Source organism: Homo sapiens, chromosome 20 (assembly GCF_000001405.40).
Source record: "Homo sapiens chromosome 20, GRCh38.p14 Primary Assembly".
NCBI lineage: Eukaryota > Metazoa > Chordata > Mammalia > Primates > Hominidae > Homo > Homo sapiens.
Genome location: NC_000020.11, coordinates 61,680,463 through 61,698,807, shown reverse-complemented (window position 1 = coordinate 61,698,807; position 18,345 = coordinate 61,680,463). Strand labels below are relative to the sequence as shown.

Here is an 18,345-nt window from a genome sequence, read left to right as displayed (position 1 = left end):
TTCCTTCCAGCAGTGACCCCCAGAGGTTCTCAATGTCTGGAGATCTCCTTGGTTGTCACACTGCGGGGGGGTCTACTGGGTGGGGACCAGGGATCTGCTGAGCACCCCACAGTGCACGCCCCACAGCTGAGACTCTGGCCCCACATGTCGGCAGCACCAAGGCTGGAGACAGGCTCTAGCGTATTCTCCTAGACCCACTCCAGGACACAATTGCAAGCCCACCAGTCCCAGCTCAGGTGCCTTCCTGGGAGAGGCCTTTGCTGCTGACCGCCTGACCAAGGGCACGTCCCCCGTGCCCTCTGCGGGCACCTGCAGTCACCAGCCCCGGGAATGAGCTCCTTGCCTTGGTTTCTGACTTGCTTCCCCTGAATGGGAAGCACCCGGACGGCAGGGCTGCGGCTCCCACTTTCCAAGTGCCTGGCACAGCCCCACTGGGAGGTTTCTGCATGAATGGAGCCATATTAGAAGACCTACTTGAAGGCTCGACTCTGTGCCCTCAATCGCACCAGCAGGACGGATCTGGGGCCTGGGGCAGACGCCGGCATGGGCTGGAATGGTCAGTGGGGGCTGCACTTGGCTTTGTGCTTGGCTTAGAGAGCAGGCGTGAGGGCGGGAGAGTCTCAGGGACCGTCCGGAGTGGAGCCCGTGCAAGGGGACCCCTCCGAGGGTGGACGACACGTGCCAGGTCTGTGCTGTCCAGCAACGTGCGGCTAATGGCTGCTGTCTCGGGCAGTGTGGCAGTGTGAGACAGGCCCAAGATGGTGCCAGCTCAGTGATGAGCCTGAGCAAAACAGCCAAGGAATGGCCGGCCAGGCCAGAACCCTCTTCTCCTGGCTCCATCTCTGACTTCTGCTGCCCAGCCCTGGCTCTGCAGGGAGGCACTTACTCCGCAAAAGAGAAGAAACAGATGGGAGGGTTGAGAGACCCGGGTGTGGGAATGGGTAGAAGCGTCTCCTGGGCAGGTGGACAGGTGAGGACCTTCCAGCCTGGAGCAGGAGCAGCACTTCTCGGACAGAGGAGACAGCCCTGGGGGATCCGGAGATGGACACCCCTCTGGGGAGACGTCCCTCCGGGGAGATACACCTCCAGGGAGGGCCCATGAGTTTAGATTTCAGTGGTTTGCAGTCGGGAACCCTGCTGGGTTCTGGAACACAGGGAGCTGTGATGAGAGCAGGGTTAGGGATTTCCTTTTTTTTGTTCCCCCCGCCCCGAGATGGAGTCTTGCTCTGTCGCCCAGGCTGGAGTGCAGTGGCGTGATCTCGGCTCACTGCAACCTCCGCCTCCTGGGTTCAAGCGATTCTCCTTCCTCAGCCTCCCGAGTAGCTGGCATTACAAGTGTCCACCACCACGCTCAGCTAATTTTTGTATTCTTAGTAGAGACGGGGTTTTACCATGTTGGCCAGGCTAGTCTTGAACTCTTGACCTTGTGATCCACCCGCCTCAGCCTCCCAAAGTGCTGGTATTACAGGCGTGAGCCACTGTGCCCGGCCTTCTGTCTTATTTCTGTGCCATCTGATGTTCTTTTCCTAAGGATCCAGACTCGCCTGGGTGTGGGCCCTATGAACTGGGCTTCTCATCAGCATCTTCCATCCTTTCCATCTTTCGTCCTCATTCTCAGGCCCCAGGAACCCCTAGGATCCTTCATCCGCACATCCGAATGTTTGCAATTGGGGCCTCCTATGTTAGCTTCCCGGGGCTGCTGCAACACATTCTTGATTTCAGAAGTCTGAGATCAAGGTGTGTGCAGGGCCATGCTCCCTCCGAAGGCTCTAGGGGAGGGCCCTTCCAGCCTCTTCCAGCCCCTGGGAGCTCCGGACATTCCTTACTTGTGGCTGCATTAGTCCAGTCTCGGCCTCTGTCTTCTTGCGGCCTTACTCTCTTTTCCCCAACTGCATTCTGTGCGTCTCTCGTAAGGACCCCTGCCATTGGATTTAGGGTGCGCCTAGATCACCCAGGATGATCTCATCTTGCGATTCTTAATTCCATCACATCTTCAAACACTCTTTTTCCAAGTAATGTCCTATTCATGGGTTCTGGGGGTGAGGACATGGATGTATGTTTTGGGGGCCTCCATTCAGCCCACTCTCCTCTGCCACCTCCCTGGTAGTATGTTCTAGAGCCCTGGGCCAGGGCAGCCCCATGGACCATGGAGGGTAGTGGGTCAGAGGGTGGACTTGGGCCAGAGTACCCCCTCAAGCCTCAGCTCCTGCCCTCCCTGACCCAGGCACTGGCCTGCTGGGATCTCAGCCCCGGTCCCGTCTTAAGGACCATGTTGTGGAGGAGTGAGCTCTGCTGTACACAGCTGGCGCTCAGTACACAGCTGGTGCTCAGTACACAGCTGGCGCTCAGCCAGTGCTAGTCTTGACCACACTTTCACATCCATTCCCGCCCCTCTCTAGCATCCTCAGCCCAAGTCTCACCAGGGGTGCTGCACCTGCCTCCCAGTTCCTCCTGCGCCCAGGAGAAAGAGTCCCTGAGGTACTGGACATCTGGGCCCCAGGCCCTGCCCCTGGCTCAGCCCTGTAAAGGCCTCGGAGCTTCCTTCTGTGCCCGAGTCGGCCTTGTTGGTTTGTGGGGGGCGGTTCTCATTCTTTCCTTCTGCTTCCTTCAAGCATACCTGGTTGGTAGACCAAGGCATGTGTGGGAGGGGCCCACAATCCAGCCTGGCACAGACATGGCCCCTTCCTCTTTAGATCTGTCTCTGTGCTGACATGGATGTGAGGCTTGCAAGAGGGGCTCAGGAAACGCAGGTGGGACAGACCTGTAGGCTAGGAGGTGCAGCCCAGCTGGCAGAACCAGGGCCTGGAGGAGGAGGGGCCTCATGGAAGAGGAGCCTCATGGAGGGGGCTGGTCGGGTGCCTGAGGCCTGGCAGCGGGTGGGTGAGGCCGGGCCTGGAGACCCCACAGGAGGAGCTGCATCCTTTCCTGCTGTGTAGCTCAGTGTGGCGGCCAAGTCACTGGGGCAAAGCCCAGCTCAGCAGTCCAACTGCAGAGAGGGGAAGGATTGGACGAAGGAGGTTGGTGCAAATTCCGAGGGAACCGAGCGTCCCCAGCTAGATGAGATGCCAGGGCTCACCATTTTCCAAGTCGAAGCTCCTCTCTCAGACACTGTGACTGCCTCCCTGCATTTTTGACCTCCCCTGTGGGACGTGCTGGAGGATCCAGGGGTTCACTGCTCTCTCCTGTTGTCCCCAGCACAAAAGCACCGCCATGTGGAACCTCACAAGGTCCCGAGCTGATGGCAGACCTCGGATTCCTCTGTGGCTAGACCCAGAGCGAGACATGCCCTCTCTGTGGTGATCTCAGGCTCAAGGATGAGAGGCACCATGGAAAGGGGCTTGCTGGGCACCCCTAGACTGTACTCAGTTTCTCCTGAGCAACCTGAGCTCCAGGACAGTTCAGACCCTCGTTCGGGTCTGATGGTGTGAGTTTGCAGGGCCCCGTGGAATACATCTGATACCCACAGCAGCAGGGCCAGCAAGAAGAATGAAATGAAGCTGGTTCATGCCTCCCGGGCAGGACGCCTCTGCGGGCAACTGGCCTGTAACCTCCGGCAGAGGCAGGGTATGTGTCTTCAGTTAATCCTCTCCTTGTTCGGTGACCTCTGTGCCTACTGCATAAGTTGCTAATTACTCTAAGTAGGTATTAATTCTGAATCAACATTACCAATCTGGAGGCACGGCTTCAAAGCATTCAAATTCTGCTCTCAGAAAACATGGCTGTTTTGATCCTTCTATGCAGCCAGGCAGTGAAAACGTTGCACATATTTTCTGCACCTATCCAAAGAAATCTATCTTTCACTCCCTACTTCATGCCATATGCTGGGAGCTGAAAGAATGAAGGATTTAGCTGTTAGTCTCTGAAGGCACAACAGGCCTCATTCCAGCTCTCCGGCGGCGCACGGGATCTGAAGCTATGACATTTCACTTCGGCTTCTGTCAGCACTATCTGCCGCGTATCGCCAGCGCTCGGCAGAGCAGGCTTGTGAAGGTGGCTCCCGTGCAGAGGAGAAAACCGCCTGCTAATCTCCTCTTCACGGTGCCAGGAGACAGGAGTGGCTTCTCATCTCTAAAGCACGCAGGAGACTGGAAATCTAAGGTACCCTCACACCCCTGTGTCCAACTGTGGGGCTGGCAGCCCCTCCTCCTGGAGGTGCCTGTTTTTAGGAGTTTTTACTTCTATCCCAGAACCCCAGTTCAGCCTTCCTCCAAGTGTGCTCATTATCTTGGGTGAGCCCTGGCATCCCCAAGGTGCACAGCCTCCATCCGAGAAAGCATTCTCTTTTCCAGTTTGAAATCCAAATTCACATTTTATCTGGCAAGGATGATTTAAAGATATGTTTACCTCCTCATTTCCCTCAGTCAAAGGGTCATCTTGAAAGCTGCACCTTGACCACCCTGCGAAGTGATTTTCTCCTCCGCCTCAAGCCTGGGAAGGGGCACAGTCCAGCAGTGTTGATGCAGAACCAGTGCCTGTAGCTCCTCCGTAAAGGAGGGAGTAGAAACAGCAGTGCCTGGTCCATAAAGAATGCCAGGCAAGTCAGTGTGGCTTCCTCCTTCCCACTCTACCTGCGCCTCTTCCCGACACCCTGCACGTTTAGGAAACGGTGCCTTTATGAGTGTCTGGGTCTGGGCATGGTGGCTCACACCTGTGATCATAGCTGAGGAGAGTGGATCTCCTGAGGTCAGGAGTTCAAGACCAACCTGGCCAACATGGCAAAACCCTGTCTCCACTAAAAATACAAGAAATTAGCTGGGTGTCATGGCGGGCACCTGTAATCCCACCTACTCGGGAGGCTGAGGCAGGAGACTCGCTTGAACCTGGGAGGTGGAGGTTGCACTGAGCCAAGTTTGCACCACTGCACTCCAGCCTGGGCAACAGAGCAAGACTCTGTCTCAAAAAAAAAAAAAAAAAAAAAAAAAAGAAAGAAAGAGTGTCTGAGAAGCGTTTTCAGTAGGAAGGTGACTTGGAGCTGTGAGTGACAATTCGTTTCTGATAAATAGCACCAAGTCCTGCCTCATACAATTATGGGGGGCATGATTGTTCGATTCCATGCATGCTCCACTTCTGCCTGTTGTTGGGCTCTAGGTGCTGGGGATGCCCAGGTGGATGAGACCAGGCCTTTGCCCTCTAACGCTGTAGCTCAGGAAGGCTGAAAATTCCAAGGAAATAAATAAACACAATTCTAGAGAGTGATCCACGCTCTAAAAGGCTGCAGTGGAGCGGACGCAGGGCAGAGGAGGCAGGTGGGCTGGGCAGCAGGCACTGTGGAGCAGGTGCTGAGTGGCAGAGGCCAAGCATGACCAGTGCCTTCGGCCTTGGGGACTCAAGCCCACACGTGGTCATCTGCTCGCTGCCCCACCCACAGAATTACCTTTGCTCAAAGATCCTATGCAGTTTCATCAGAAGTCAAGCTAAAGCCGCTCCCCTTACACACTCCCCAGGCCTCCCCCACATTTCCAGCACAGCATTGGAGCAGAGCAGGCAGTCCACAGAATCTGCCTGTGAAAGGAGACCAGGAGGCAGCACAGCCCAGGAACAGGCCCGACGTGGCCCCCTGCACTGGCCTTCATCACAGGAAAGCATCAGGGACAGGCCTGGAGTGACTGCTCGTACCCGCCTTCATCACAGGGAAGCATCTGATATACTGTGGTGTGCCTTGAAAGTGACTGGCCTCTCTGATTGTCACCAGGCTGAGCTGTGACCAGGTGAGCCGGTGATCAGTTAACAGAGTCCCCGTAGATCCCAAAATAGCCATTCGAGACCCAGCTGGCATTCTCCCTCCTCTCCATCCCGGGGCTGGCTGAGCTCATGGATCATTTTAATTGGATAACTGGAAAAAAATTCTCCTTTCATAAACCTCCTCACACAACTAGCTTCAAGGCTTTCAGGAAAATGTGCTAACTTTTGACCAATATCCACACGGGCATTTCTGAGGTCCTATCTAGCATTTGCAAAAAAAAAAACAAAAAACAAAAAACAAAAAAGCTTGCTTGCTAGTAGAAAACAGAGTATTAAAATAGAATCTAAATCAATGTTTCTGATCAATTGCTGCAGAAATGTGTATGAGTAGCCGCAAATGGAGTCATATGGCACACAGATGTGCTTTTGCAATGGTATAAAGTTGTTATAAACTTGCCCCTGCCCCATCACACTTCCGTGCCTGGGGATTTGCTCGCACGGACACAGATCTGAGAAAATTTCCTGGTCCAATTAATAAATGCTTATTAGGAAACGTGGCACAAAATGTGCCCACAGTAAAAGCAAATTCACGTGATTTAAGAGGCCAGGACTTTTTCTCATCCTTTCTCTTTTAAGCCTAAAGGGAGATTAGTCTTATGTCAGTCTATCTATTTCAAACAGATCTCTTTAAGAAGATGTTAACCAGAACAAAAATAAAATACCTTGATGCCTTTGGAAATAATAAATATTCCTCTGATAAATTCCTTGATTCAAGTTGAGCACATAGGTGATGAAAACAAATATAAAAACAAGTTACATACACACACACACAGACACACACACACACACAAAGACACACATACAGACACACACATACACACACATACATACACACACATACACACATACATACATAGACATACACACAAACATATACAGACACATATAAACACATACATGCAGACACACATACATACACACATACATACAGACACACACAGACACACACATGCATACACACAGACACACACATACACACACACATCTTTACCCCTCATTGGACCTGGTTTTACCTAATGTCTGGAAATTTCCTTGCTCTAAGACAAGGTGAAGAATTTTACGTCCTTGGCAAAAACAGCAAGGGTTTATTTCTTTGCAGATTCCGATAATACACAAAAGTGCTCAGTAGGCTGTCATGGGTGCTAGTTTATTTTAAGGACTCAAACATACATGCATATATACACATACACACATAGACAGGTGTGCGATACACAGTCATGTGCTGCGTAAGGACGTCTCCACCAGTGACAGACCATAGACACGGTGGTGGGCCCGTGGGATCAGAATGCTGTATTTTTACTGTCCCTTTTCTGTGTTTAGATTTGTTTAGCTCCATAAATACCATTGTTACTGCTGTCTGCAGTACCCAGTCCAGTCACAGGATGGACAGGTTTGCCGCCTGGAGCAACAGGCTCTACCATGAAGCCGAGGGGTGCAGAAGGCTGGACCATGTAGGTTTGCATCAGTTCACTCTGATGTTTGTACGGTGATGAAATCAGCTGCTGACGCATTTCTCAGAGTATGTCCCTGTCATTAAGTGAAGTGTGACTGTACATATATGTCCCTAATATCTACATCTATAACGTATGCACACACACTACACATGCACACACATACACACAGACACACATGCACACGCACACACACATCCACACATCCACTTGCACACACACATCCACACAAATACACACACATATGCACATGCACACACAAAAATACACACACATACACACATCCACTTGCACACACACATCCACACAAATACATACACACACATATGCACACGCACATACACACACTTGCACACACACACTGAATTCTTACTGCTCTTGCTTCCCCGAGTCCTGGGATTGGTCACAACCCAGTATTTGGAAGTCTCAGGGCAGAGTCAGTGTGAAGGGGCTTCTGGAGACCAAATCTAGCGGTAAATCATGTCCCTGCTGGCCGAGGGGTGGGGAGGGACTCGGTGGCCATGCACTTCCGGGAGCTGTGAGAGGTGGCATCACTCTCAGAAGGAAAAGGAAAAGGTACCAAATGCTAAAATCATTCTGTGAGTTCATCTCGACCCAGGAAGGGCTGGGCCTCTGGAAAGTCTAGAGGGCTCAGCCCTGGGGCGGGGGGTCTGCAAGGCTGTGGCCCCCAAGTGTGCCCCTCTCAGGACATGCCCCTCCCGGCAGCTCCAGAAATGCCTCTGCTTGGACCTGGCTTTTCCCTGAAACCTCACAGACTCTGGAAAACCTAAGGCCACTTTCCCTTGTCTCCTTCAGGAAGGCTATGCCATCACCAAACTCCCCAATGAGGACTCGCAGCAAGTCCATTGTGAGGAGAGGTGGACACTCTCCCTGGTCGGTGGGTGGGGGGTGGTCTTTGAGTTGTCCCCGCCCTCCTCTCATTCTGCCAGGTCCACCTGGAGAAACTCCCCCCGTCCTCCAAAGCTCAGGTCCAACGCTCAGAGCACTCCGAACAGGAACAGAGACATGCAGCAGACCTGCTCCAGGAGGCTCTTCAGTAAAGACAGTGAATGCTTGGGCGGGGACACTAAGTGGGCAGCCGATTGGGTCCACACTCCTTCCTTGGCCTCGGCCTTTCCAACCCAGAACTGCAAACCCTGTAGCCCCTCCCTCCTGGCATCACCTGGGCTACCCTGGGGCTGAGGCAATGGACTCAGAGTTGGTCTTTGAATGCACCAAACTTACTAACACATGCTGATCACACACAATGTCACCACCTCCGGGAAGCCTCCCGGGAGTGACAATACACACGGGTCTCAGTCACAGCAGAGGGTCCCAGCCTGATGACCACACCATCTCACCTAACCACTGTCCCCGCCCAATTACACATCAGCTCACCCAAACATTATCCCAGCCCAATTCCACATCACCTCACCAACCACTGTCCCCACTGGATGACCACATCACCTCACCAACCAGTGTCCCCACCCGAATCCACATCACCTCAGAAACCACTGTCCCTGTCAGAATCCACATCACCTCACCAACTCACCGTCCCTGCCGGATGACCACATCACCTCACCAACCAGTGTCCCCACCCGAATCCACATCACCTCACCAGCCACCGTCCCAGCCTGATTCCACATCACCTCACCAACCAGTGTCCCAGCCTGATTCCACATCACCTCACCAACCACCGTCCCAGCTCAATTCCACATCACCTCACCAACCACTGTCCCAGCCTTATACCACATCACCTCACCAACCACCGTCCCAGCTCAATTCCACATCACCTCACCAACCACTGTCCCAGCCCTATTCCACATCACCTCACCAAACAATGTCCCAGCCCAATTCCACATCACCTCACCAACCAGTGTCCCAGCCCTATTCCACATCACCTCACCAATCACTGTCCCAGCCTGATTCCACATCACTTCACCAAACAATGTCCCAGGCCAATTCCACATCACCTCACCAACCACTGTCCCAGCCTGATTCCACATCACTTCACCAACCACTGTCCCCGCCGGAATCCACATCACCTCACCAACCACTGTCCCAGCCCAATTCCACATCACCTCACCAACCACTGTCCCAGCCCGATTCCACATCACCTCACCAACCACTGTCCCAGCCTGATTCCACATCACTTCACCAACCACTGTCCCCGCCGGAATCCACATCACCTCACCAACCACTGTCCCAGCCCAATTCCACATCACCTCACCAACCACTGTCCCAGCCCGATTCCACATCACCTCACCAACCACTGTCCCAGCCTGATTCCACATCACTTCACCAACCACTGTCCCCTCCGGAATCCACATCACCTCACCAACCACTGTCCCAGCCCAATTCCACATCACCTCACCAACCACTGTCCCAGCCCGATTCCACATCACCTCACCAACCACTGTCCCAGCCTGATTCCACATCACCTCACCAAACAATGTCCCTGCCCAACTGCGTTACTTAGACTTGTCACCAGTGTCCAGTGGCAATAGGGCTGGTGTGAGTCAGTCACAGCTACCCACAGATAGGAGAAATTCATCCAAAGTGGAACATGGTATCCTCCCAAGACACACAGGGAAGGCGAGGAGGGAGCTGCGAAGGCAGGTCCAGTGGGGCTTTCGGTTTGAAAGAATAAAATACAGGATACATGTGTGTTTTTCACTTTCTACAAAGGAGAAGATCTTGAAGGAGGACCACCTAACTAGCGGTGCCTCTCTCTAAGCAGCTGAGATGACAGGGACGTTTCCCCTGCTGGGTTGCACACTCCTGTGTGTGAAATTTTTCTGCATTATGTTACTTGTGTTATCAGAAAAAACAATCAAAAATATAATTTAAAAGATGAATTGATTCCTTAACAGCTCTCAGATTGAGGAACGACTCTAAGTTGGGGGCACTGGCGGAAGCTCTCTGAGCGGGAGAGGCGGCATGCACATGGTTATAGCGTGGGCCCGAGTCAGGGAGCCTGGGCTCTGTGAAGGCTCCGGAGCTGCAGAGATGCTGCGAGTCCCTGGAGGACTCCAGCCTGTGTCCCAGTGCTTCCGGAAGGCGGCCGAGAAGCAGGTGTCCTGCCCAGAGTGCGGTCCAGGGGACCAAGAGTTAGTGCTGCTGTCAGGGCAGGGCACGTGAAGACCCTGAATGTGTTTGCTGCTGTTCTTATCATTATCAGATTGACAGCTATTCCAGAAGTGCTTAATAAACCATCATTCAGAAGGAAGTTCCTTGAGGCACTGGGTGGTGGGTGTCGGTGGGAGGAGGACACAATGGGGAGAGAGGAGGGAGGAGGAAGGTGGGAGGAGGGAGAAAGACAAAGACCCCAGCTGGAGAAATTCCCTTGATCTGGCAGCTATTTGCATGGTATTGCTCAATTTAATGGTGGTGGAAAGACAAACCCGTGGAAGAAGGGTGTTTCTGGTCACGACGTCACCCCTAACATTGACCCCTATGAGCCCAGCTTAGGGGAGGCCCTGCAGAAGCTCAGAGGCTGCTGTAGGGGAGACCTGGGCTGTCGGCGGGGTCCTGTGATCCTGTCCACCCCACTGGGCCAGCTTCCTCCAGCCTAGGGTTGCTCATCTGTACCCGAGACTCCTGCACTTACGACTTATTATGAAGTCATAATAATATCTAAGTTAGTACAAGGTTAATGCTTGTGCTTAAGGAATGTGACTTCATTTCCTGCTGAGAAAGGACCTGAATACTAAAAAACCCAAACCCAAAAGCCCCCAGGCTCCCCTGTGGTCTAAGGTAGGCTAAGTCCTTTTAGTGGAAATATTTTCTATGCCCTAGACACATTGTAATTGTAGTCCGCGGACCACATTTCTGGTTTTTTAAAATAAATTTTTGCTTCATCAGGTGGTGCTCCCTGTGATAAATGCAATCTGTCAAGACTTCCCTTTGATCAGACTTAAGGCAGAAGGAATTTCCGAATCATTTACTTGGGAATTTAAAAAACTTACACGCATTTGTTTAGCAGAGAGGAAACCCTAGCCTGTTTTACATTTTGTCAAATCTATTTTTAGATAAATTTCCTCTTTGTGCTTAAAACTACTCCTAAATTAACTCTTGGGTCGTTTTATGGAATTAAAATAAAGTTACTGATTAAACTCCTGCCTGAGTCAGCAAGTCCCGCCCAGGCTGTGGCTGAGGAGGCAGTGTCTGTGGGTCCCCGGGGGCGCCCATCCACATTTTGGGTCCATTTCACACACCTTCATTCCTCCCGGCACAGCGCTGCCTCCGAGTACAGACGGTCACTGACAAGGGAGACGAGGTTGTGTAAGAAACTCCCCTGAACAAGTTATCCCAACAGGGAAAGGGGAAGAGCAGACACTGTCCAGCTCAGTCCAGTGGATGATGTCTGGTGTCAGAAATAAAAACGGGACAATAGGCTGTGGAGCGGGAGAGGAGGGCACCTCTGCAGCTTTCTGGAAAGGGTGTGGTTGCTTCAGTGGACACCGAACACGCACTTCAGTGTTGCCAGTGAAGTCTGAGGGACTGGCCAGGGCGTGCGGGGAGGTCGCCTAATCAATCACCTGCCACCGTCCTTGGAAATCTTCGGAGCAGAGACTTCCAGCAAGGGCACCGCCCAAGCTGAACACAGGGGTGATGATCACGATGAAAAAACACCTTGCTAGTCGGGGGAGCAGAGTTGCTGGGTCGGGGGGCGGGGGTTGGTTTGGAGGGGAAGCTTTAACCTGACTCGAGAGGATCTGATAGCAAGTTAATCACTCTCCGTCCTGTACATGCACAATCCCTAGCACAAAACCTAACAAACCCTGCACACATGACCACACATGCATGCAAGTGGACATGCACACATGCACACACACACGCGCGAATGCACACGCACATATACACATATGCACACACACGCACGAAGGCACACACACGGGAATGCACACGCACATACACACATGCACACACAAATGCACACGCACATACACGCGAATGCACACACGCGAATGCACACGAGAATGTGCACTCAGATACACACATGCACACACGTGCTCATGCACACACATGAATGCACACACGCGAATGCACATGCACATACACGCGAATGCACACATACACAAATGCACACACGAATGCACACACATATACACACACGCGAATGCACACACACGCACATATACACGCAAATGCACACACACGAATGCACACGCACACGCACATACACACGCAAATGTACAGGCACATACACACGTGAATGCACACACACATATACACACATGCGAATGCACACGCACATACACACATATACACGCACAGTTGGGCTTGTTCTCTCCAGTCTTTCCATTACTGGCACTCACAGGCAGGCCTCCCAGCCACGCAGATGTGGAGACTGGCTAGTGCTTAGCAGAGAGCTCTGCAAGGAAACCAACTGTCATCAGATTAGCAAACAGTTTGTAGAACTCTAGGAGTTTCGTGAAACTTCTGATTCTTTTAGGAAAAGCTGGCAAGATCCTCATTCTCTTGGCAGAAAAGTCTATAAAATCATCGGTACAGATGCCGCTGGTCTATTTTCACTGGAAGAAAAAAAAATCCCATCACCTCTGATGGTGCTAACATTGACATTATTTTTGCCTTCAGTATTTATTGAGATCTTCAAGAACTGCACAATTTTCTCTGATGAAAGGCAGGAGAGGGGTTTGGAAAGAAGAGCTTTCCCTTCCAGAACTCCGCCATCTGGAATGCTAAATGGTGTGCGGGTACCACCCAGTGGGGATCCCACAGCCCGGACTATCCCACCTGAGATTAATGTGAAGGTTTTGAATCAAGTGTGTTCCAGGTTTCTGCAGGGGGCTGAGGGTGCACATGGGACGAGGGGTAGCCCCGTGAGGACTGGAGTCCAGGAGCTCTCCCAGGGCAGGTGCCTCGGATGCTCTGAGTCCGGACAGCGGGAAGGGGTCTGAGGACAGTCTCACTCTGTGCAAAGGGGTGTGGGTGACGTAGTCAAAGCCCGAGACACAGAGGCTGAGTGACCAGGCTGGGATAAGGTGGTGGTCACTAGGACCGAATCAGGACACTGACAGAAAGCGCCACAAACAGCGGGGTGGTGGGGCCGAGGAGCGGCCTTTGCAATCCAGAGGGGAGAGACGGGACTGATGAGAGCAGGCACTCTCCGCAGGGGAGATGAAGGGGCCCAAGCTTTTATTATGAGGCAGGTACAGCAAGAATGGCTTGGTACACAGAGCACTTGCTCAACCCCTGTCATGAGCCTGTGGGGAGGGGCAGTCACCCCGCTTCACACAAAGGGTGGTGGAGAGACCAAGTTGCTTTGAGACATGAATTGAGTGGAGGCGGCTTTGAAGCCAGTAGCAGCGCATGGAGAGTGAGGCAACACAATATATTCCCAGGAACAGACCCAAACCGCATGGGAGACCCTTAAAAACACTGTGCTAAGTGAAAGAAGTCCACCCCAAAGACAATCCCACCTGTAGCAAATACCCAGACTAGACACATCTAGAGACGGAAAGACAGAAGGTGTATTTGTGGCTGTTGGGATGGGGCAGGGAATGGGAGTGGCTGTCTTATGGGTACGGGGTTTCCCTGCTGGGTGATGAGTAAGTTGCACAATTAGATGACAGCAACAGTTGCTCTCTGTAACATATACTCAACTCTACACTATACATGGAACTCTGAATTGACTAAGGACCATTGAATTGTACACTTTAAACAGGGGAATTTCACGGTAAGTTTTTATATCTTAATAACGTGGTTAGAAATAGAGTGAGCAAATATTTACAGATGAATTGTGTGTTTGAAGCTTCAGGAGCAGTTTAGAAACCTCACCCACATCGAGGGGTGGTCACGGCAGGCGGCTGTGGGCTGCAGATTGAGGGAGGCTGCTGTGCTGGGTGGGTGTGGCAGGTCCCAGGTGCTGGCGAGGATTGGGAGCTGTTTGCACAAAAACGCTAAGATGGTTTGTAAGACTTTGAGATAAAATGAAACTACCCAAGAAAGCCCTAAAATTTTAAAGAGCAGGTTAGAGACTGAACCCCCAGGAGCCTTTCAGCCCCCAGGACGGAGCCCAGGATTCCCAGCTGCAGAACAACACAGGGGGCTGGACCTTGTGTGTGATATGGAACAGGCGGCCAGGAGATGGTTGCCTCCGAATTCTGCCCAGGCTCAAGGCTATTTTGTATAAAAGGTCCTGAGATGTCCCTGCCCCTGCATTTTGGCTTGGTTAACATCAGACCTACTTAACCAGCATAAGCAAGACGGAGGTTGAGGCCACGTGCTCCGCGCTTGCTGCTTCCTTAGCTGGGCGGCCCCCCTGCTCTTCCCACAGGGCTCAGTCGCATGGTCGCCCCTTTGCCACCCTCTGAGCACCTCCCAGGCCACTTCCCAGGCCGGCCAGTCCCCCTCATTCACAGCACTCCGACGGCCTCCTTCACCAGCAGCAACGGCTGCATTTATTCCTTTGGGGGTTTCTAGAATGTTTGGCATCCAGAGGGCAGAGGCTTTGTCCGATGCCACTGCAATCCCTGCTACACAGTAGGTATCAGCCAACCCTGTTAAATGAATCCACACACAGGGAAGAAGCACCAAACAGACCCAGCTCTGGCTGTAGTCCCTGCCACGCCCACCTCCCCAGACACGAGGAGCTCCTGGGAAGGGGATGATGTGGTTGTGATGGGGCTACAGTCTCACCCACCGCCAGGAAGAGCCCAGCCTCCCAACTCCCACCCATCCCTCTGGCTGCTCTCTACTGTGAAGTGCCAGCTAGGCGGTGCACCTCACCCCACGGCAGGCAGGCACAGGCTTGTACAAGAACAGACAATGAAAACAGGGTTTTAATCAGGATCGTTTACTTAGCACAGAGCCTGGCTTGAAGGAAGAGGACAGTGAGTGGTAACTGTATGACAGGAAGAGTCTTCTACAGAAAGATCATGCCCCTCCAAGCAAACACATTTTCATATTTGACCTGAACATTAAATCTCATTCTATCAACAAAGTATGCATCTCACTCTGTGGGTGACTGACAAGCTACCAACAAGGTTCTGAACACCTGGCCCATCTGCGGGATCTGAGGAAGCAGATGCGTGCAGTTTGGGGTGCTCTTCTAGCACGGCACCCCGTTCTGGTACCATCTGCCTGGGCCGCACTCCCGGGGCACCTGCCCACGGGCCTCCACGACTCGCGGTTCGGGGGACACCAGATACACCGTGACAGCTCCAAGGAAAGCAACCCGTGCCGTTCACTGCAGGGTACAGTAGATTTTGCTGGAGACTTTCTTTGTGAAGCAGAAACTGCCTCTGAAGTGCATGATTTCCTCTTGTGATCGTTTCTTTCTCTGCCATCTTAATGCCTATTACTCATCCTTCCAAAGATCAGAATTTTATAAGAAACATATGGATCTCAAGACTTATCGTCTGCCCTATACTGCACAGACGTGGAGAGTACAGCTGCGTGCACTTCTCCGTACTCTGCACATTCACACACAGCCTATAAACTCCCATAAACACATTCCAGGGAGAAAATGTTGAATCAAAGCCATAAGCAGCCAGTCCCATTGCCAGGCCCCGGCATGGTGACTTTATATTTATTTTAATAGACTCTGGGCTGTCATTTCCATCTTTATAAAAAGATACAGGATTTTTTGAGAACTAGCTGAAAGAGAACCATTCACAATTGGTTCTTATACATTTTCTCACTGAATGCATTTTCACAAATAAAAGGAAATACTAGATGGGTGAGCAGCTGATCTCTACCTTCAGGGGATTTGCTTACGGGTAGATTGCCCCACAATAAGAACGTTTCCATAACAAATGCCATAAACCTACAAATGTGAGAGTAATACAACATTCCACAGATTAGAATCACCTTGGACTTCCCAAGCTTCCTCTTCACTAAGCCAGAAACATCAGACATTCCTGGCGTGGGGAGGTAAAATCATTCCTGGCATGGGGAGGTAAAATCCATGCTTCCTCCAGTAATTGCTTTATCATTAATGAGTTTTAATGCCCTGTTCTCTCCTCTCCTCCCTTCCACTTTTCCACCCATCTCTCCCTCTGTCCCTTCATCTCTCCCTTCCTCTGTCCATCCATCCCTCCACCTATCCATGTATTCATCCATCCATCCACCTGTGTGTCCATCTCTCCGTCCATCCATCCATCCATCTGTCCATCCATCCATCCCTCCCTCCCTCCCCTTCTCCCACCCCTCCATCCATCCATCCTTCCATCTGTCCCTCTGTCCATCCATCTATCCATCCATCATCCATCCACCATCCATCCATCCATCCATTCATCTATCTCTCCCTTCCTCCCTCCCTCCCTCTCTCCTTCCATCTGTCCCTTTGTCCATTCATCCACCTGTCCATCCATCCATCTGTTCCTCTATCCATCCGTCCACTTGTCCAACCATCCATCCATCCATTTCTCTATCCATCTGTCCACTTGTCCATCCATCCCTCCATCCATCATCTACCCATCCACCTGTCCATCCATCTACCCTCTATCCACCCATTCCTTGGTCCACCTTCCCACACCCCATGAAGGTAGTGTCATAAAGGCAGGGACTGGCCCAGAAGCCAGGACCCAGAATGGAGGCAGACGCTTAGCAGGATACAGCAACTGCTAGCACTGAAGCCATAGGTTCTCCACTAGCAGCTGAAACCCACTGGGCTTCCTTCTGCAATGACAACCCAGATTGCCCTGGGGTCACAGGCAGCTCCTGCAAGTTCACAGCCCTGGCCTTGGCATCACGTCATTTTCTGCTGAACCTGCTTGCTCCCGTATACACCACACACCCTCAAAGACAAATGTGGGGATGCTCTGTCTGTCCCTCCATCACCAGGAAGCCAAAGGAATGTCAGCTGCACGGGCCTGAGAACACAGCAACACCGACGCAGGGCTTTCTAGGGTGGCAGCTCCACATGCACTGAGCCCGGACTTTCCCGATGCCCAGAAAGCTCTTTAGGGGCTCTGCAGCACCCTCAGCTCTGTGCCTGTGGAAGGGATTCCGGGCTTCCTGCAGGGGGATCCTGAGACTCCTCCCAGCTGCTAGATGATGCCCCCTTTTTCTCCTACCCCTTGGAACAAGAGTTCGGGAGCTAACAGATTCCTTAAAATGCACACAGTTATCAAGTTCCAAGGATTGTCTAATTCTCCCACCCCTCAGAACAAGAGCTCAGAAGCCAACAGATCCCTTGAAATACGCACACAGTTATAAAGTTCCAAGGATTGTCTAATCCATTTTTGTCACCTTTTGGGTGATTTCAGCCTCATTTTTATGCGTGGCAGAAAATCTTAACAATTTAGAAAGAGTATTTTGTATGATTTGGACAAAAGAGAAAATTCATACCAAGCCTTGCAAAAAGCTACTTAGTCCTAAAGCACTGTATACAATTTGTAGGTAATTCACAGCAAATTATGCCTCAAATTTGACTGTGTGTGGCTGAAAGAGAAAAAAAGCCATTAGGACGTGAGGGCGGGTGTTTTACCCTTGCAGAGACATTTTCTTGAATTCTGGAGGGCCCACATCCACAATGCCCTCAAGCGATGTGTTAATAATTGCACGGCACAGAGGGATTATGTTAGAGAAGCTACATGTTTCTTTCTGGAATGTCACCTATTTGTCTTCCCAAAGAAATGGGTGGAAAGGGAGGGAACAAATAGGAATTCTAACTCTGCCCTCACTGCCCAGAGAGCTAGCCTCTGAGCCACCTGCTGTGTCTCTAGGGAAGAAATGGTGCATCCTGGAGACAGGCGGCCACCCCTGGCTTCCATCCAGTCCCTCTGAAGGACGCTGGATGAGAAGAAGACACAGGGGGGAACTCAGGACAGAGCTGAGGTTCCAGGGCACTGGCTGAGGCTGTCCGAGGTCCTGCATCCCGGGGAGACGGAATTCTCTACAGAGTCAACGCTCCAACTACCACGATCCCAGAAACAGCCAGGAAAGCATCGAACTTGCTGAACCATGACTACCGAAGCTCTGAAAATCCACAGGGAACCATTTCTTTAGAAAGGACACCAGGGCGCCCTTCTATCCTCGGGGGATGCTCGGCTCTTTGTGTTTCTCCCCGCCCTTCCCCCACTCCTCATTTCTGCCCTTCCTTCCCATTTTTAGAGCCCCTGCCCATCATGCATTGTCCCCTTGACTGTTCTGTCACAGTGGCCCTGAGTGACCGTCTTGT

The 18,345-nt window shown here is 51.9% G+C and overlaps 1 protein-coding gene across 5 annotated transcripts in view, besides 1 other annotated feature; it reads right to left on the bottom strand.

Moving 5' to 3' along the window:
* The window catches only part of CDH4 (cadherin 4), a 688,357-nt gene that overhangs the window by 241,810 nt on the left and 428,202 nt on the right, over window positions 1-18,345 (bottom strand). The gene's annotated exons all lie outside the window — the stretch shown is intronic.
* Window positions 9,932-10,431: an enhancer, noted in NCBI's record as "H3K4me1 hESC enhancer chr20:60263433-60263932 (GRCh37/hg19 assembly coordinates)". NCBI's record gives its function as "activates a minimal SCP1, AML or CMV promoter by ChIP-STARR-seq in primed H9 embryonic stem cells {active_cell/tissue: H9 hESC(primed)}" and the evidence as "EXISTENCE:reporter gene assay evidence [ECO:0000049][PMID:30033119]".